Source organism: Homo sapiens, chromosome 1, assembly GCF_000001405.40.
Source record: "Homo sapiens chromosome 1, GRCh38.p14 Primary Assembly".
Lineage (NCBI taxonomy): Eukaryota > Metazoa > Chordata > Mammalia > Primates > Hominidae > Homo > Homo sapiens.
This window is the reverse complement of record NC_000001.11, coordinates 248735586-248756505: the sequence shown is the minus strand read 5'-3', so window position 1 is coordinate 248756505 and position 20920 is coordinate 248735586. Positions and strand designations below refer to the sequence as shown.

The window sequence follows — 20920 nt, the reverse complement described above, 5'->3', positions numbered from 1 at the left end:
TAGAGGACAGAGAACCTGACTAATACAGAGAGGCCTCAGTTGACCTGACCTGGGCTGTTACCAGTAGCTGCTCAGATCACTTGGCCAGAAAGACTCTCTCGATGGCTGCTGTGGGCTCTCACCCAGTGTGCAGAGCACACTGCAGGCAGGGGCTTCACGTCATGGTCCCTCTACCACACTATGAGGCTGCACAGTGAGTTTACACTCATCTTGGTTGGAGGACCCTCAAATCTAACAAGGTTAAGACACTTGCCTGTGGGAAACTGAGGCCCTTTCCTGAGTTGCACAGACCCCACATAGTCTGATTCGGAGCTCTGAGTTCTGACTGTGCCCCGGCTGTGTGCCCATGAGCATATCTCTTATGGCTCTCTTTCTGTGCTTTGGTTTTCTCATCTATAAATGGGCTAATCATGGTGACTGTTAGCAGGTTGTTAGGTGCTTGTCATTAGCAGGTCATGGAATTGACTTAGAAGGCCACAGACAATGCTGGAAGATACCTTACTCCTGTTTACATTTTGCCAAAGGCAGGCCTTGACCAAAGTTGTTCCCAATTCCTAGAGGTCTCAGAGAGGGCACGAGCTGCACAGATGCCAAAGGGTTGGGCAGCCTGTAGCTCTATTGGGCAGGGCACAGTCTGAGAGCCAGAAGCCTTAGCCTGTCTGACCCAGAGGTCCCACCCCAGAAGACAGCTGTGCTTTTTGATTTTACAGCCACCTGCTATATAAGGCCTCTCCCATACCAGCCCTAAGCCTCTACTGGGAACCACCTTCTGTAGGACAGTCACCAGGCCAGATCCAGAAGGTGAGAGGACTGCGAGGCCGGGGCCTGAGCCCTGGGAGAAGCTGAAACCGCAGGAAGGGCATTCAGGACCAGCTCAGGTCCTTCCCCGGCCAAGTCCAGGACATTCTTGCGGCTCTTGCTCCTTTGGCATTGCCCTAGGCAGTCGTATGCTCAGGAGAGGGAAGTCTGGAGTTCAGGGAGGATGTGGGCTGGGGATGTAGTTTTCTTGTTGTTTTGCCATCTGCTACTGTGTGTGTGGTTTGTGTGTAGTGTGTGCGTGTTCTGTGCATCATTCTGTGTGTGACATTCTTCATTCTGTGTGGTTTTGTGTCCTCACAGCCTCTCTAGGCTCCAGCTTTCTCTGTGGAAGATGACAGCAATTATAGCAGGACCCTGCCAGGCTGTCGAAAAGATTCCGCAATAAAACTTTGCCAGTGGGAAGTACCTAGTGAAACGGCCTAAGATGCCACTTCTTCTCATGTCCCAGGTGGGGGCCCTGCCTTGAGCCCCAGCTTCACTGGTCCCTCTTACCCACAGAGGTGTTGAGCACGGCCCTGGGTCCTGCTATGGGGTCACTCCCAGGCTCTGTTTCTCTGCTAGGTGYCCCTGGGTCAAGTCCTGACCTCTCTGGGCCTCCATCAATTCTCCCTGAAAATGAGGCTAGTTTCAGGTCTTCACCATAGGCTGAGGTGATCTGTGCACTTGATGGGCTGCTGGGGTCTCCTTCTCATCTCATCTCATCCTCTCCTTTCCCCTCCTCCATCACACTGTAAGACCTGAGAGGCCCTTTCCCAGAAGGCCATGGCCCTGAAACTCTTTTCCCACTGAGGAGAAAAGCAAGCAGCTGGGGTTCCAGGCCTGGAGGGGTGCACCCGGGCATGTAGGGGTGCACCGGGCCTGGAGGGGTGAGGGGCTGGCGCACGTCTGCTACAAGCTCCAGACCAGATGTGCTTTATTTTCCTCCTTGGATCTCTAAATGGTGGGGTCATTGGCATCATGTATGGGCCTCTTCTCCCAGACCGACTGGTTTCCCTTCCTTTTTACCAATCTCTAATAAGTCAACCAGGGTATCAGGGTAGGGTGTGTGGTGTTTGTGTGTGGTTTGTGTATTGTGTATATGGTTTGTGTGCATGTAATGTTTGTGGCATGTGGTATAAATGGCATGTGGGGTGTGTGTGTGTGAGGGTGTGTGATGTGTATGTGTCTCTGTGTGTGGAGGCATATGGTGCATGTGTGGTGTGTGTGATGTGTGTGTGATATGGTGTGTGTGGGGTTTGTTTGACGTGTGTGAGGTGTGTGGTGTATTGTGTGTGTGTTTGATGTGTGTGACAGGTGATGTGTGGCATGTGATGTGTCGTGTGTGTGGTATGTGGTGTGGTGCGTATGTGGTGTCTGTGATGTGATTTGCATGTGTGTAGTATGTGTGATGTATTTAGCGCATGGTGTGTTGTGTGTGTGATGTGTGTGACTTATGTGTGGGGTGTGTGTTTAATGTGTGTGGTGTGTTGTATGTGGCATTTAATGTGTGTTGTGTGTGTTCGGTGTGTACCTAATGTGTGTGACATGTGATGTGTGGTGTGTGTGAAGTGTGTGTGGTGTGGTGTATGTGTGGTGTGTGGTGTGGTATTTGTGTATGTGGTGTATGTGTGTGGTGTGGGGTGTGCTGTGTGGTGTTTGTGACATGTGATGTGTGGTGTGTGGTGTGTGATGTAGTGTATGTGCAGTGTGTATGTGATGTGTGGAGTGTGTGGTGTGTGTCATGTGATGTGTGTGACATGTGATGTTATGTGTTGTGTGTGTTGTGTGTATGTAGTATGTATGACATGTGATGTGTGGTGTGTGTGTGATGCATGGGGTGTGTGGTGTATGTGTCATGTGATGTGTGTGTGACATGTGATGTTATGTGGTGTGTGTGGTGTATGTGCTGTGTATGACATGTGATGTGTGGTGTGTGTGTGATGTGGTGTGTATGTGTTGTGTGGGGGCTGTGGTGTGTGTGGTGTGATGCGTGTGTGTGTGGGGTGTGTGGTGTGTGTGTGATGTGGTGTGTGTGTTGCGTGGGGTGTGTGGTGTGTGATGTATATGTGTGGTGTGTTGTGTGTGTTGTGTGGGGTGTGTGGTGTGTGTGTTGTGTTGTGTGTGTTGTGTGGGGTGTGTGTTGTGTGTGTGATGTGTTTTGTGTGATGTGGTGTGTTGTGTGGGGTGTGTGATGTGTGTGTTGTGTTGTGTGTTGTGTGATGTGTGTGTGATGTGGTGTGTTGTGTGGGGTGTGTGTTGTGTGTGTTGTGTTGTGTGTGTTGTGTGTGGTGTGTGGTGTGTGTGTGATGTGTATGTGTTGTGTGTGGTGTGTGGTGTGTATGTGATGTGTGTGTTGTGTGGTGTGTGTGGTGTGTGTGATGTGTTGTGTGTTGTGTGGGGTGTGTGGTGTGTGTGGTGTGTGTGTGTTGTGTGGTGTGTGTGTGATGCGGTGTGTGTTGTGTGGGGTGTGTGGTGTGTGTGTGTGGTGTGGTGTGTGTGTTGTGTGGGGTGTGATGTGGTGTGTGTGTGTGATGTGGTGTGTGTGGTGTGTGGGGTGTTTGTGTGTGGGGTGTGTGTGTTGTGTTGTGTGTGTTGTGTGTGGTGTGTGGTGTGTGTGTAGTGTGGTGTGGGGTGTGTGGGGTGTGTGGGGTGTGTGTGTGATGTGTGTGTGGTGTGTGGGGTGTGTGGTGTGTGTATGATGTGGTGTGTTTGTGTGTGTGTTGTGTTGTGTGTGTGTTGTGTGGGGTGTTTGGTGTGTGTGTGATGTGGTGTGTGTGTGATGTGGTGTGTTGGTGTGTGGGGTGTGTGTGATGTGTGTATGTGTTGTGTGGGGTGTGTGGTGTGTGTGTGGTGTGGTGTGTGTGTGTGGGGTGTGGTGTGTGTGATGTGATGTGTGTGTGTTGTGGGGTGTGGTGTGTGTGTGGTGTGTGTTGTGTGGGGTGTGTGGTGTGTGTGGGGTGTGTGGTGTGTGTGATGTGTGTGTGTTCAGTGGGGAGTGTGGTGTGTGTGTGTTGTGGGGTGTGGTGTGTGTGTGGTGTGGTGTGTGTGGTGTGTGTTGTGTGTTGTGTGGGGTGTGTGGTGTGTGTGTGTGATGTGTGTGGGGTGTGTGGGGTGTGTGGTGTGTGTGTGATGTGTGTGTTCATGATGTGGTGTGTTTGTGTTTGTGTGGTGTGGTGTGTGTGTGTTGTGTGGGKTGTTTGGTGTGTGTGGGGGGTGATGTGCATGTGTGTGGTGAGGTGGGAGTAGGGGCTTCCAGATGAAGGCGATTGTGTTTCAGTAAGTAGCAGCTATTGTGGTGCAACTAGGCTTTGGAGCTGGAAGGACCTGGAATAGAGCACTGGCTTTGGCCTTAGGAGCCGAGCGAGCTTGGGTTACTTCGTCGTCCCTCTGTGCTGCAGGTTTCTCACCTGTAGAGTGGGGCTAATAGCCTCTGCCGTACAGTACTGTCCACTGGGACTCTCCGCAATGATGGAAGTGTTCTGTGCCTGCGTTGGCCAATACAGCAGCCAACAGCCACATGTGGCTCCTGAGCATTGGGAATGTAGCCAGTGCTACTGAGAAACAGAATGTTTCATTTTATCTACCCTCGAAGAATCATAAATAACTATGTGTGCCTCACAGCGACCGTGTATAGGGTAAATGAGATAATGATTAAGAAGGGCTCAGGCCAGAGCCACACACCTGCTCTCTCCTGCTTTGATACACAAGCAAGTTGGAATTCTGGAAGTTCTAATTTCGAATTCTAATGAATATAACCAAACCTTAGCAATCCTCAAAGGCCTAACTCAGAGAATCTGCAGGCAGGGAATGCAAGGTGCAGAGACATTGGTGACACGCTATTTGGAAGTGCATGGGGGACTCTGATTTAGTGCTGCAGGTTGAGTGTGTCCAGGCTGAGGACTGTGGGAATAGTGGAAGGGAGTGTGGGCTGGCGGTTGGGGACACAGACGAAACTCCAGTTCTGATACCTCCCAGAAGTAAGACCTTGACTTTGAGTGCATTACCCAATCCTGCTAAGGCTTGATTTTTCTTAGGATGCTAATAATAATACCTGCCTGCTACAGTAGATGAATTACATAAATTAATACCTGTAAAGTGTTTGGAATGGAGTAAGTGCTCAATAGCTGTCTGCCTATTGCGGTGGTGGTGGCAGCAACAGAACCCTTAAGTGTAAAATATGGATGCAGTGAGAGACTGGCTGAAGGAGGGACATTGTGCTCTGGGGGAGGGGAGGGGCACAGACCCCAGCCCAGCTCTTTCTTCTTGGACCCCATCCCAAAAGTGAAACTAAAAATTAATCTGCCTGCACATTTTGCAACTGAATTGGCTCCACGGGAAATGGCCCCTGGCTGTGTTTCATATCTGCGTGTAGATGCTCCTGCAGGCTGAGATTAAGAAAACTTGGCCCTCCGTTTGCAGCAGGGTGGAATCAGCTTTGTGCTCCCAGCTCAGGATTTTGATTCTTTCTGTCACAAGGATGGACTGAGTACTGGGCTTCTTACAGTGCGATTAAAAGCCCCAGGGGATGAGAGGCAGCCCTCCAAGGCCCCGGGGCTGCCTTCTTTGTGTCTTTTCAGGCTTGAGGCCCTGTGGTCCCCATCCTTGGGAGAAGTCAGCTCCAGCACCATGAAGGGCATCCTCGTTGCTGGTATCACTGCAGTGCTTGTTGCAGCTGTAGGTAAGAGAACTCACGTGGCCCCTTTTTAGAATGGAGACCCCCTTTTCCACCTCACCAGTGTCTTCTTGCTCTCAAATCCCCGAGGGCCTCACATGTCAAATTATGGTCAGGGATGACCATGAGACCTGTCCGTGCAGCCTGCTTTGAAGGGGCCACTCTGTATTGTTGTTGAAGGTTGGATCTTTCTACTGGGGAATAGTGAGCAGTGGGAGAAACTAATTAGGGTGGCTCATCTTACAGCATCAATTTCAGGTATCCCCAGAGGGCAGGGATGCCATCCCGTCTGTCTTTTACTGCAAGGTGGGAGCAGTGCTTTTCCTAGAGTAGAGTATGCTCTATAAATGTCTACTGAATGTTGACTGGTGTTGGATGTCTTGTCTCCTCAGAATCTCTGAGCTGCGTGCAGTGTAATTCATGGGAAAAATCCTGTGTCAACAGCATTGCCTCTGAATGTCCCTCACATGCCAACACCAGCTGTATCAGCTCCTCAGCCAGCTCCTCTCTAGGTGAGCCTGGGTGTGTGTGTCCTTCCTGCCTCTGGGGCTTGCACCGGGAGGGAGCTGGAGAGGACATCCAGGCAGGAAAGAAAGGCAGAGAAGGGGTCGTGCTGTCCAAGGAGAGAGGAAGCCACAAAGGTGACTCCCAGGAGAAACAACGCTTGGCTGAGGCAAGCAGGAGCCAGACAAGATCACAGGGTCAAAGCCACAGGAGCCCCTCGTGGTGTTTGGGACTGATGCCCGTGACCTCAAAGCTTCATTCGAGACGCATGTCAGTGGATGTGAGAAGCAAGGACAGCTCTTAGTTAAATTACCAGGAGGATTTGCTCTGGATGCTTTCATTTCTCTCTCTCATGGTTCCTCCTCTTCTGGATCAAACACACTTTCCTTCATTCAAGACCTCCCCACAGGGCGTTTTGAGTAACTACTATTGTAACCTCTTTCTCAGAGCACTTAGATTTCTTCTTCACTTTTTTGTAATAGACACGTTCAAACATACTTCATGTATGTTTAAAGTAGGAAAAAGAGTATAATGAACTGCCATGTAACCACTACCCTGTGTCAGCAGTTATTAACATTTTGCTATTTTTTTGCTATAGTTTTTTTTTTTACTACAGTATTTTTGGCTATGGTATTTTAAATTAAACATTATATAAATATACATGTACACACATATATGTGTATGTGTGTACATGTCATCGGTCATTTTCTCCATAAATACTTCACTATTTATCTCTGATCATAATTGTTTTTTACATAACTATCATATTGCTATGGTTTGAATATTCCCTCCAAAACTAATGTTGAAACTTAATTGCCACCGTGATGGTATTAAGAGGTGGGACCATTCAGAAGTGATTAGGCTGTGAGGACTCCGCCCTTGTGAATGCATTGATGTCATGAATGTGGAGGTGGGTTCCTGATAAAAAGGAGTCTGGGCCCCTCTTTCCCTCACTTGCTCTCACCCTCTCTTGCCCTTCTGCCGTGGGATGATGCAGAAGAAAGTCTTCACCAGAGGCTGGCACTTTGATGTTGTACTTTGCAGACTCTAGTACTGTAAATAATAAATTTATTCTCTTTATAGGTTATCCAATCCATGGTATTCTGGTATAGCAACACAAAATGAACTAAGACACATACTGTTATCATACCTGAGAAAATTAACTGTAATTCTTTAATTTCTTCTAATATCCAGGCCATCTTAAACATTTCTTAATTGTTTCAAAGATGTCATGATGTGGTCTATGTGCGAAATTAGGATCCCAGCCAAATCCCCCATTTTGCTGTTAGGTCTGTTAAGCCTAACTTGTTTTATAACAGCTTCCATCATTTTTTGTTCAATCCTATTGGTTTGTTAGAGAAATGGGTCATTTGTCCTGTAGCTGTCCCATATTCTAGCTGTGGTTGATTGCTTCCTGCTGGTTTCATATAACTTGCTCTCCTGTTCTCAGTGTTTCTTGTATAGGTAATCAGGGCTGACTAGCAGTGCCTTCTTCAATGATGAAAGTATCTGTATTAACACTGTGCCATACTGTAGTCACATATGGCTACTGAGCACTTGATATATGGCTACTATGGCTGAGGAGCTTAATTTTAAATTTGATTTTATTTTAATTAATAAAATTTAAATTTAAATAGGCACAAATAGCTAGTGGCTACCATATTAGATAGCTCTGGCTAGAAGCTTGACTGGATTCAGGTTCAATTTTTAGGCAGGAACTGTGGATGTCATATTGCACATAAGGCTCGTCATGTCTGTTTGATCATTTTTACAGCTCTTAAGACTTATTGAAGGCTTCAGGGACTGTCCACTTGGACCAACCATTTTCAGGCTCCCAATCAGACTTTTGCCTGGAGTTTAACCTGCACCTCTGATAGCCTCCTGCTCAAAGGAGGGGTTACCCGATGGGAAGAATTATTATTATTTTTTCCGGAAAACCCTCTCCAGTGTCTTCAAAACTGCATGATACTGAGGTTGCATTTTCTGCCTTTGCCTGAAACAGTTGCTATTCTGGGTCTCCACCCTCCCCACACCTCCTCCTTACCAGGGGCTGACAGTCTGTGTTTGTCTTTGTGTAGAGACACCAGTCAGATTATACCAGAATATGTTCTGCTCAGCGGAGAACTGCAGTGAGGAGACACACATTACAGCCTTCACTGTCCACGTGTCTGCTGAAGAACACTTTCATTTTGTAAGCCAGTGCTGCCAAGGAAAGGAATGCAGCAACACCAGCGATGCCCTGGGTGGGTGCTGGCCGTGCGGGCGATGCCCTGGGTGGGTGCTGGCCGTGCGGGGGATGCCCTGGGTGGGTGCTGGCCGTGCGGGGGATGCCCTGGGTGGGTGCTGGCCGTGCGGGCGATGCCCTGGGTGGGTGCTGGCCGTGCGGGCGATGCCCTGGGTGGGTGCTGGCCGTGCGGGGGATGCCCTGGGTGGGTGCTGGCCGTGCGGGGGATGCCCTGGGTGGGTGCTGGCCGTGCGGGCGATGCCCTGGGTGGGTGCTGGCCGTGCGGGGGATGCCCTGGGTGGGTGCTGGCCGTGCGGGGGATGCCCTGGGTGGGTGCTGGCCGTGCGGGGGATGCCCTGGGTGGGTGCTGGCCGTGCGGGGGATGCCCTGGGTGGGTGCTGGCCGTGCGGGGGATGCCCTGGGTGGGTGCTGGCCGTGCGGGGGATGCCCTGGGTGGGTGCTGGCCGTGCGGGGGATGCCCTGGGTGGGTGCTGGCCGTGCGGGCGATGCCCTGGGTGGGTGCTGGCCGTGCGGGCGATGCCCTGGGTGGGTGCTGGCCGTGCGGGCGATGCCCTGGGTGGGTGCTGGCCGTGCGGGGGATGCCCTGGGTGGGTGCTGGCCGTGCGGGGGATGCCCTGGGTGGGTGCTGGCCGTGCGGGCGATGCCCTGGGTGGGTGCTGGCCGTGCGGGGGATGCCCTGGGTGGGTGCTGGCCGTGCGGGCGATGCCCTGGGTGGGTGCTGGCCGTGCGGGGGATGCCCTGGGTGGGTGCTGGCCGTGCGGGCGATGCCCTGGGTGGGTGCTGGCCGTGCGGGGGATGCCCTGGGTGGGTGCTGGCCGTGCGGGCGATGCCCTGGGTGGGTGCTGGCCGTGCGGGCGATGCCCTGGGTGGGTGCTGGCCGTGCGGGCGATGCCCTGGGTGGGTGCTGGCCGTGCGGGGGATGCCCTGGGTGGGTGCTGGCCGTGCGGGCGATGCCCTGGGTGGGTGCTGGCCGTGCGGGGGATGCCCTGGGTGGGTGCTGGCCGTGCGGGGGATGCCCTGGGTGGGTGCTGGCCGTGCGGGCGATGCCCTGGGTGGGTGCTGGCCGTGCGGGGGATGCCCTGGGTGGGTGCTGGCCGTGCGGGGGATGCCCTGGGTGGGTGCTGGCCGTGCAGGCGATGCCCTGGGTGGGTGCTGGCCGTGCGGGCGATGCCCTGGGTGGGTGCTGGCCGTGCGGGCGATGCCCTGGGTGGGTGCTGGCCGTGCGGGGGATGCCCTGGGTGGGTGCTGGCCGTGCGGGGGATGCCCTGGGTGGGTGCTGGCCGTGCGGGCGATGCCCTGGGTGGGTGCTGCTGGCCGTGCGGGCGATGCCCTGGGTGGGTGCTGCTGGCCGTGCGGGCGATGCCCTGGGTGGGTGCTGGCCGTGCGGGCGATGCCCTGGGTGGGTGCTGGCCGTGCGGGTGATGCCCTGGGTGGGTGCTGGCCGTGCGGGGGATGCCCTGGGTGGGTGCTGGCCGTGCGGGCGATGCCCTGGGTGGGTGCTGGCCGTGCGGGCGATGCCCTGGGTGGGTGCTGCTGGCCGTGCGGGCGATGCCCTGGGTGGGTGCTGGCCGTGCGGGCGATGCCCTGGGTGGGTGCTGGCCGTGCGGGCGATGCCCTGGGTGGGTGCTGGCCGTGCGGGCGATGCCCTGGGTGGGTGCTGGCCGTGCGGGGGATGCCCTGGGTGGGTGCTGGCCGTGCGGGCGATGCCCTGGGTGGGTGCTGCTGGCCATGTGGACAGCCTTCCTGCCTTCCTGTGTCCTCTCAGCCCTGGTTCTTCCTTTTTCAACCATTCTCCTTTCCCTTGGGTGGACATCTCAAGTCCAGACACTTCAGTGTATATCCGGATGGCATTAACATCGGACTTACAGCAATTACACAGGAAACAAATGGGGCAAACCAGCACTTCCGCCATGCCTCCCCTCTTTCTTAGTGAAGACAGACATTGCAAGTTGTGCGAGAGGGACTTTAGTTCCGGTCAGTAGTTCTCAAATTTTGTGATCTCAGGCCCTCTGTTAAGACTCTATGTCTTAAAAATTATTGAGGACCCCAAAGAACTTTCGTTTATGTGGACTCCATCTATCAATATGTACTGTCTTAGAAATTAAAGCTAATAATATTTACAAATTGTAACTAGTTTGCCAAAATAACCAAAACACATTACACATCAACAGTAATATAACTATATTCTCCAAAAGAAACATATACAACGGGAAGGGTGGCATTGTTATTATACCTTTTGGAAATTCTTTAGTTTCTGACTTAATAAAAGACAGCTGGATTCTCATATTTACTTGTGCATTTAGTCTGTTACAGTCTCACACATCATGGAGCCTCTGGGAAACTCCACTTTACATTCACAAGAGAAAGAGAGTGAAATAAGTAAATAATATTTTAGTATTATCATGAGTATGGTTTGAACCTTGTAGTACTCCCTGTAAGGGTCTCAGGGACTCAAGGCTTCCTGCACCACAATTTGAGACCTGCTGATCTAGACCAAAGCTCTCTTTTTGAAAAACAGAAAATGTGGCTGAAAAGGCAAAGTTTATTGGCCATGGTCATAAAGCACAGTTAATTAAGAGCAGAGCTGGTCTCATTGTAAATTTTTTTCTTCTAGTCATAATGTTAAATAGTGGCCTGTGTTCATTTGTTCAGAGCAGGATTTAGTAACACTCACCCACTTATTGGCAAATGTTCAGGATGGCTAGCTAATGTTCATGTTGACTATAGTTTGGTTTTAGCTCAAAATCTTACCTTTCTCAGTCTATACCCAAACACACTGATGGGCCACAGTTCTTAAAGGCTAGATAGTCTGTTAGAGCAGATCTGTGGAGCTGTGTGTAGTAAATATTTTGAGGAGACATGGTGTTTTCAAGGCTAGATCTGAGATTCCCAAGGATGTCATTGCTCCGTTCTCCGATCTCTTTGGTGCTTTCTTTGCTTGCCTATCCCCTTCCTCCCATGTTCTGTATGATAACACTGTCCTGAGTAATGACTCTGACTCTTCCAGACCCTCCCCTGAAGAACGTGTCCAGCAACGCAGAGTGCCCTGCTTGTTATGAATCTAATGGAACTTCCTGTCATGGGAAGCCCTGGAAATGCTATGAAGAAGAACAGTGTGTCTTTCTAGTTGCAGAACTTAAGAATGGTAAGTCTTGGAGTTCTAATTCCTCTATGGGACTTGGGCTGGAAACATGTCAAGTCTTGGTTCATAAATTCTGGGTTAACACAGAAGGACCAGGGGAGTCGTGGGACAAGGGGGATAAGGGCCATAATGTCTTTAAATACAGTGGCTGCTCATGTAGCCTTGAGCTCGCTGCTATTGCTGCCTTCTTAGAGCAGAGCTGTTTCTCCTGGGCTACCCTTCCCTTGAACTCTATTCTCCTGTGGCTTGTAATCCAGTCACATTTGTCTAAGCGCATCACACCCCTCCTGACATTCACTTCTTTACCAGGTCGCATCATTCTATAGGTGAGGGTGGTGCAACTTTTATTTCCTTTTATATCTACACTTTTATTCTCTAGTTGTCACTAAGAGGTGTTGGCTTTTGGTAGCTTGGATCACCTGGCAGAAAGAGTCAAATTGGGCCTTAAATCCAACCAATTGTGCTTTTCTACAAAAGCAGTTTGATACTAACTATCGTAAAATACACATTTGACACTACCCATTGTGAGATCCACATTTGACGCTACCCATTGTGAGATCCACATTTGACGCTACCCATTGTGAGATCCACATTTGACGCTACCCATTGTGAGATCCACATTTGACGCTACCCATTGTGAGATCCACATTTGATACTAACCATTGTAAAATACACATTTCTAACATTTGCCCAAACAGTTAAAGGTTAATACATTTATTAGTTAAGGTAAGTTAATTGCTGTTAACAATACCAGTGATGCCCTGGGTGGGTGCTGGCCATGCAGGCGGGCTTCTTGTGTCCTCCCAGCCCTGGCTCTTCCTTTTTCACCTGTTCTCCTTTCCCTTGGGTGGACATCTCAAGCCCAGGCACTTCAGTGAGTATCTGGATGGCATTAACATGTGACTTACAGCAATTACACAGGAAACAAATGGGGAAAACCAGCACTTCACTATGCCTCCCCTCTTTCTTAGTGATTCAGGTTGTGTGAGAGGGACATTAGTGGCCATCAGTAGTTCTCAAACCTTGTGATCTCAGGCCCTCTGTTAAGACTCTATGTCTTAAAAATTATTGAGGACCCCAAAGAACTTTTGTTTATGTGGACTCCATCTATCAGTATACACTGTCTTAGAAATTAAAGCTAAGAAAATTTAGAAACCTTAACTAGTTAAAAAGTTAAAGAACAACCTCCAAAGCCTATGGCTCAATACAATAGATGTTTATTCCTTGCTGGAGCAGTTCATTGCAGAGTCCAGGCCATGCGCTCCTTCTGTCTTGTAGCTCTGGCCCCCACTCACCGGGTCTTGGCAGCTCTGTGCTGTATCCTTTGCATCTTGCCAGCAGTAGGAAAGAGAGGTAGTGGAGGAAGGCAGGTGAGTTTCTATGGGTTGGGCCTGGATGTGAATGCATCACTTCCTCCCACATTCCACTGGCTAGGACCCGGTAAGACAGTCATCTTGGCTGTAAGGGAGGCTGAGATAGTCAGGCTCTGCCAAAATGTGGCTCAAAAGCGTAAGAGTTTAAGAGCACTAGTATCCAGGTACAGTTTGATTTTAATATTTGTTAAGTGTCAATTATAGCATCATGAATCAGTGTTTAACTGTAATCATGGATTTTTCAGCGGCGTCAAGCACCATGCTTATCCTGAACCTCTTATTTCGGTTGTTGTCTTTTTGGTTTTTTGAGATGGAGTCTTGCTCTGTCGCCCAGGCTGGAGTGCAGTGGTGCGATCTCAGCTCACTGCAACCTCCGTCTCCTGGGTTCAAGTGATTCTCCTGCCTCAGCTTCCTGGGTAGCTGGGATTATACACATGTGCCACCACACCTGGCTACTTTTTGTATTTGTAGTACAGATGGGGTTTCGCCATGTTGGCCAGGCTGGTCTCAAACACCTGAACTCAAGTGATCCGCCCGCCTCGGTCTCCGAAGGTGCTGGGATTACAGGTGTGAGCCACAGCACCCAGCCCCGAACCTCTTTATACTGTTTTTTTTTAAATACACATTTTTTTTCAGAGTAGTTTTAGATTCACAGCAAAATTGGGCAGAAGTGATAGAAATTTCTCATCTACCTGACACGCATAACCTCCCCCGCTGCCAACATCCCCACCAGAGCATAACCTCCCCCGGCTGCCAACATCCCCACCAGAGCGTAACCTCCCCCGGCTGCCAACATCCCCACCAGAGCATAATCTCCCCCGGCTGCCAACATCCCCACCAGAGCATAATCTCCCCCGCTGCCAACATCCCCACCAGAGCGTAATCTACCCGGCTGCCAACATCCCCACCAGAGCGTAACCTCCCCCGCTGCCAACATCCCCACCAGAGCATAATCTCCCTGGCTGCCAACATCCCCACCAGAGCATAACCTCCCCCGCTGCCAACATCCCCACCAGAGCATAATCTCCCCGGCTGCCAACATCCCCACCAGAGCATAATCTCCCCCGCTGCCAACATCCCCACCAGAGCGTAATCTCCCCGGCTGCCAACATCCCCACCAGAGCATAATCTCCCCCGCTGCCAACATCCCCACCAGAGCATAATCTCCCCCGACTGCCAACATCCCCACCAGAGCATAATCTCCCCGGCTGCCAACATCCCCACCAGAGCATAATCTCCCCGCTGCCAACATCCCCACCAGAGCATAATCTCCCCGGCTGCCAACATCCCCACCAGAGCATAACCTCCCCGGCTGCCAACATCCCCACCAGAGCATAATCTCCCCCGACTGCCAACATCCCCACCAGAGCATAATCTCCCCCGCTGCCAACATCCCCACCAGAGCATAACCTCCCCGGCTGCCAACATCCCCACCAGAGCATAATCTCCCCCGACTGCCAACATCCCCACCAGAGCATAATCTCCCCCGCTGCCAACATCCCCACCAGAGCGTAACCTCCCCCGGCTGCCAACATCCCCACCAGAGCGTAATCTCCCCCGCTGCCAACATCCCCACCAGAGCATAATCTCCCCGCTGCCAACATCCCCACCAGAGAGGTACATTTTTTCTAAGCAGTGAGGCTACATTGATACAGCCTCACCCAAAGTTGATAGCTTACATTAAGGTTCCCCCTTGGTGTTGTATATTCCATGAGTTTGGACAAATGTAGAATGATATACATCCACCATTGTAGTAGTACCATATAGAGTATTTCCACTGCCTTAAAATTCCTCTATGCTCTACCTACGCATCCCTCCCTCCCCTCTAAGCTCTGACAACCACTGATCTTTGTTATTGCCTCCAGAGTTTTGCCTTTTCCACACTATCCTATAGTTGAACTCATACAGTATGTAGCCTTTTCAAAACGGCTTCTTTCCTTAGTAATATCCATTTAAAGCTCCTTTCACTTTTAAAATTTCTGGGATGTCTAAGCTGCTATGATTTTTAATTCTAAAACTGTGTCCTAGGGCAACATGACATCAGAAAGATTTTTCTCTCTCTGCTTATCTTGTCCCCAGCTCTGATAAAAGGGATCGATTTTCCTCTTTCTCATAGGACTTGACTTAAGCTGAAAGCCAGACAGATCAAAGCTATCATAAATGTAGGGGTATTTTTGTTTCTTTTTGTTCAAGATCACTTTTTTTAATACAGTAGAAATGTTCCATGAAACACACCTCCTTAACTCACTCTGAGTCTTCAGCACTGGCCAGGTGCGGTGGCTCACGCCTGTAATCCCAGCTCTTTGAGAGGCCAAGACAGGCTGATGACTTGAGGTCAGGAGTTCAAGATCAGCCTGGCCAACATGGTGAAACCCTGTCTCTACTAGAAATACAAAAATTAGCCAGATGTGGTGGCACGCGCCTGTAGTCCGTACTACTCAGGGGGCTGAGGCAGGAGAATCACTTGAACCTGGGGGACAGAGGCTTCAATGAGCCAAGATTGCACCACTGCACTCCAGCCTGGATGACAGAGCGAGACTCCATCTCAAAACAAAACAAAAAACTTCAGCACTGATGCTTGCTATAAAACAGCATTTGGAGGTTTCTAACTCCTTTTCCAAACAAGTTTAGAATCAGCCTTTGTTGTTGTTGCTGTTCAAGACAGGGTCTCGCTCTGTCGCCCGGGCCGGAATGCAGGGGTGCGATCACTGACTCACTGCTGCCTCGAACTCCTGGCTCAAGCCAATCTCCCATCTCAGCCTCCAAGTAGTGGGACTACAGGCATGTGCCACCACCCCTGGATAACTTAATTTTTTGTAGAGACAATGTTTCCCAGTCTGGTCTCAAACTCCTGGCCTCAAGCAATCCTCTCACCTCAGCCTCCCAAAGTACCATGATTACAGGCGTGAGACACCTGGTCCTAGAGCCAGCCTTGAACTCAAATTGCAGCCCTGCTTCATGCCTGGTCCTAGAGCCAGCCTTGAACTCAAATTGCAGCCCTGCTTCATGCCTGGTCCTAGAGCCAGCCTTGAACTCAAATTGTGGCCCTGCTTCATGCCTGGTCCTAGAGCCAGCCTTGAACTCAAATTGCGGCCCTGCTTCATGCCTGGTCCTAGAGCCGGCCTTGAACTCAAATTGCGGCCCTGCCTCTGACAAGTGGTGAGTGGAGTCACTTCACCTCCGTGAGTCCCTTGGCCTCTGTGAGGTGCCTGTCTCCAGGGCTGTTTGAATTGCAGCTGACAGAGCAATTGGGGCTCACAGTAAGTGCTCAATAACAGGTAGCTGCTATCGTAACTATGTCTTTTGTCCAAATGCCCCAGGCCTTTTTCTAGTACATGAATCTCAAAACACGATTAAACATAGCAGAACCCCAATTTACGGCAGAGACATGCCGTGGTCTCTTATATGCCTCCTGGTGGCCCTTCCTTCTTCTCAGGGAAAACTCAGGCAGGGAGGACTCAGGTCCAGAGAGGAGTGAGGACGGAAAGCAAAGCCTGGAAGGGGACAGGGAAGTCCAAGGTGCTGGCCCCTTCCTGAACTGAGAACAGAGAACTGCCTTTTGAATCTGTTCCTGGTTTCCTCACCTTCCAGCTACACAGGAACACGGGAGATGTGAGTCCCAGGTCCAGCTCTGACCTTCACTGTTTAGCCTGGGCTTGCCACTCACCTCCAGGAGTCTGCTTCCTCCAGGGTCAGGTGGCGGTGGGAGTCTAGGCCTCTGACCTCCAGGGTCTCTCTACCATTACCGCGTGGTGTTCTTGACTCTGAACACGCAGGCTCCTTCTTCCTGCCTGGGCTTCAGGAGCACACCAGCTCTTGCTGGTCACCGGGCCACCGTGCTGCAGGTGAAGAACTAAGAGCAGGCGTGGGTGGAAGGACAAAGGACTGAGTGGCGTCCCTCCTGTCTCCTTTGCATTCACAGACATTGAGTCTAAGAGTCTCGTGCTGAAAGGCTGTTCCAACGTCAGTAACGCCACCTGTCAGTTCCTGTCTGGTGAAAACAAGACTCTTGGAGGAGTCATCTTTCGAAAGTTTGAGTGTGCAAATGTAAACAGCTTAACCCCCACGTCTGCACCAACCACTTCCCACAACGTGGGCTCCAAAGCTTCCCTCTACCTCTTGGCCCTTGCCAGCCTCCTTCTTCGGGGACTGCTGCCCTGAGGTCCTGGGGCTGCACTTTGCCCAGCACCCCATTTCTGCTTCTCTGAGGTCCAGAGCACCCCCTGCGGTGCTGACACCCTCTTTCCCTGCTCTGCCCCGTTTAACTGCCCAGTAAGTGGGAGTCACAGGTCTCCAGGCAATGCCGACAGCTGCCTTGTTCTTCATTATTAAAGCACTGGTTCATTCACTGCCCAAATCTGTCCTGATGCATTCTGGGCTGGGCTTCATTTGAGCTGCTATCCAGCATCGCCTCCCACTTCTGGGCTGCAGGTGGGGTCCTTGCCTTTGAAACCTGTGCACGTTTGTTTCTGGGATCTGAGGACATCCCTGCTCATCTTGCTTCTAGGAAGCCGACCCCTTGACCTTGCAGCCCTGCACCTCTGGGGACGGACATGCCACCATCCACACTGTCACACACAAGGAGCTCCCCCGCCTACTTTATAAGGCCTGTGTTGACCCCAGTACCAACACATAAGCTCCTTCAGTATTGGCCAATATATGGCTCTTCAACAGTTGTCCTGATTGTGGTCAGAAGTCCACAGCGAGTGAAGAAAACAGCATCATCTCAGGGTCCTATCACGATGGGGGCCCAAAGAGGGTTGGAGGGGCTGCTGAAGACCAGCATGCTCCTACTGTCTAGCCTTCCCAGGCAGGGACATGAGTAAGTCACTGAGCAACCTGCAATGCCAGGCTCCATTCCCGGCTGAGGAGGTTTTCTGCAGCCTTGTGCAGAATGGAATGTGGCTACAGAGCACCAGTCCAGCCCCTCAGAGAGCTTATAATCAAACACAGAGTAAATAACTCTATATCAAATGCCAAGGGAGGAAGAAAACCATTCAATAGAATATGCCCAGAGGCCCAGGTCTAGTAAATAAGGAGGGCCTTGAGCTGAACTTGGAAAAATGGGGTTTGCTGTAATAAATACTTTTTTGTAAACTGATGTGGGTCAACATTAGCCAGGATTGCTGGCAATGCACCATGGACAAAGCCACCATAAAGGTCCTCTGATGGCAACTCATCACCACATGTGCTCTTACCTATTTCAGCTTGGTATTTTGAAATGGAATTTTAGACTTACTGAAAAGTTGCAAAAATGAGTACACAGAGTTCCACTGTCTCCTTCATGCAGCTTCTCCTCACGTTCACATTTTAGATAATCACGATACAGTTACTGAAAGCAGGAAATGTTCACTGAAACAATATTGTTTACGAACAGACCTCATTTGCATCTCACCAGTTTCTATGAATGTCTTTTTTTTCCTGATCCAGGATCCAATTCTTTGCATTTAATTGTCATGTCCCCTCAGTCTCCTTCAAACAGCGGCAGTTCTGGAATCTACCAAGACCTTGATAATTAAGAAGATTATTGGCCATTTTGTAGAATGTTTCCCAATCTGAGCTTGTCTGAAGTTTTCTTGTGATCAGATTGAGGTTATGCATTTTTGGCAAGAAAACCACGGCAATGATATGCCCGTCTCGGTGCATTTTATCAGGAGATACTTGATGTCGATGTGTCATATTACTGGTGATGTTAACCTTGGTTAAGGTTAGTAGCTTTCAGGTTTCTCCATTGTAAAGTTGCTATTACTTCTTAATATAATAGGCTAGGTTGTACTGCTATAACAAATATACCTTAGTAAAAAAAAAAATCACACAATGGGAGTTTATTTCTCAGCAACTTAAACTCCATATAGATGCTCCTGGTTGGACATCTGTCCAGGGCTGCTCTTCTCCAAGAGTAAGGAAGGCGTCATGCTTCTTTAACCCCACAGTTCCACCATCCCCCATGACCCACTGGACTCTCGGTTAAGTGCTCTGTCTGTAGCCGGCTGATAAGTAAAAAGAGAGAGCGCCTGGAGGGCTGTGCAGAACGGCCCAGGGGCCAGGGCTGGCAGTGACATCCATCACTTATGCTCATAAATCCGGTTGTGGGACCTTGAGCAAGAGACTTTTCCTCTCTGGGCCTTAGTTTCTCCACCTGTATAATGGGGATAGTGATAAGGTCTGCTACCTGGGGTTGTGAGGTCTGTCAACATAGTTCTCCCTGTGAAGCTTAGCGAAGAGCTTGGCAAGGAGTAAATGTTAACAGCAGAAGATTACAGTCTGGAGGGTGCTCCCTAAGGACAGTAGGAGGAGGAGAGGCCACAAGAAATGCTGATGTAGAAGGAACTGTCCCTGCTCAGCTCCCTCTGACGATGCCAACTTCACTAAGGTTACAGCTGCTTCTGTTTCAGTCTCAGAATCTCGTATCCACTTCACTCACCCTTCCTAGACCCTCTGTGGCTGCTGACACCATGGCCTCACAGAACGCAGTGGGGGCTTCTCTGCCTCTCATCTGCATTGTCTGAACTACCAGCTAACTGGTTCTTAAAATCTTCTGGAAGCCCCAGTGCTCCACGTTGATGTGAGGAAGCAGCGACATGTTTGGGGAACTGCAAAGGGTCACATGGGAGCCTGCCTGAAGGACAAGTAGGACCAGAGCCCAGGAGGCCTCCACAGCATTGTAGATGACTCTGGCTTTAGATTGAAGGCCATGGGGAGTCAATGTATAGTTAAGTGAGATAGTAAGAGTGGATTGGGTTTCCATTCTGGGAAGATTGCCTAGACTGCAGGATGAAGGTAGAAAGACAGGGCAGCAAGAAAGTTAAACAGAAGTAGTGGGTACTGCCCAGGGGTAGATGCTTTTCATCCCATTAATGGAGTATAAACTAGTACCCTAATGTACTTCCATTTGCATTACTGGCTCCCACCTCCTTACCCAGAGCAGGGAATTGAGCAGAGTGCCACTCCTGCCCGTGTGTCTACCTTTTTTTCCTCCTGGCTCTTCATGCTTAACTCTAGACTCCTGTCCTCTGGCCCCTGAGCCGGGTCTCATACTTTGCACCTAAGCTAAAGCCCCTTACTGGCAATTCTTCATTAGACCCAGCCTGGGGTCTAGGATAAGCCCCCATATCTGAGAAACTCCACAGAATTCTACACTCACACTGTGTGGCTGGACTAATGACAGTGGCCTTGTCTTTCCACAGTACTTTAAAATTTGTAAAGTTCTTTTGCCCATGTTGGTTTATTTTATTTAGAATGAAATTGTATACACAATCACATTTTAGGCAGGATTTACATACAATAAAATGTATGTGTGCAGTCTGATGGGTATCACCAAACTTGCCCTTGTAACTACCCTCCACCCCAGTGAAGACATGAAAGCCTCTCCAGTAGTTCCCCTGGGCTGCTACGCAGCTCACTCCACGCTAGCCCCAGGCATCTCCACTCTCCCCTCCTGAAATGACAGGCAACACCCTGCTCACAACCCATTGAGTTCAGCATTCACTCAGCAACACCCAGGCTCAAGACAACAGGCAGAATAGTCCCCAGGGGTCAGATTTTCCCAGCAACAATTCTGCCTCATGGAAGGGGTTAGGATAAGGTACTGTTTCCATCAGACCCCCAAGCCCTTTTGACCCCTTCTCACTGCCTCAGCCAGGAAGACAAAAGGAGGGTGTAGGGTTCCTTTCTTTGTGCTCAAGACTGGGTTTAGCACGTCTGAGCTAAAAGTTTCTTGAACTAAATCTCCAAATAACCTTTAATCTGAAATATAAATTGAACCAAAGTAAAAACCACTTATCACTATGTGTCTTCAATGTACATTTTCAATATATATATAATAATTGTGCATATAATATTTATGGGGTACATGTGATATTTTGATACATGCATATAATATATAATGATCAAATCCAGGTAATTGGGATATTCGTCACCTCAGACTTTTATCAATTTTTTTGTATTGGGAACATCACAAATCTTCCTCTTTAGCTATTTTGAAATACAAAAATTATAGCCCACTGTGCTGTTGAACACAAGGACTTAGTCCTTCTATTGAAATGTATTTTTGTTACCCATTAACCAACCTCTCTTTATTCCTACCTCCCCCCACCTTAACTAATCTCCGTTAATCTCCATTCTACTCTTTATATCCATGAGATAAACTTTGTTAGCTCCCACATGAGTGAAAACATGGAATATTT

General features: G+C 50.0%; 1 protein-coding gene and 1 long non-coding RNA gene across 3 annotated transcripts; one reads left to right on the top strand and one right to left on the bottom strand.

Moving 5' to 3' along the window:
• Positions 1–746: 746 nt before the first annotated feature.
• LYPD8 (LY6/PLAUR domain containing 8) lies at positions 747–17091 on the top strand. 2 transcript variants are annotated; one of them, NM_001085474.2, is made up of 7 exons: positions 747–801; positions 1120–1267; positions 5376–5476; positions 5863–5982; positions 8053–8217; positions 11227–11364; positions 16657–17091. In NM_001085474.2, the coding sequence occupies exons 3-7, from the start codon at positions 5425–5427 to the stop codon at positions 16893–16895; spliced, it is 714 nt and encodes a 237-aa protein (NP_001078943.2). In that variant the 5' UTR covers positions 747–801; positions 1120–1267; positions 5376–5424; the 3' UTR covers positions 16896–17091. The 2 variants fall into 2 exon arrangements, with proteins under 2 accessions (NP_001078943.2, NP_001278212.2); NM_001291283.2 differs by lacking the exon at positions 1120–1267.
• LOC107985747 (uncharacterized) lies at positions 12557–16667 on the bottom strand. The gene is made up of 2 exons (XR_001738577.2): positions 16402–16667; positions 12557–12691 (listed from the first exon to the last, which is right to left on the bottom strand). It is a non-coding gene; the product is annotated as an uncharacterized LOC107985747 (long non-coding RNA).
• Positions 17092–20920: the final 3829 nt, after the last annotated feature.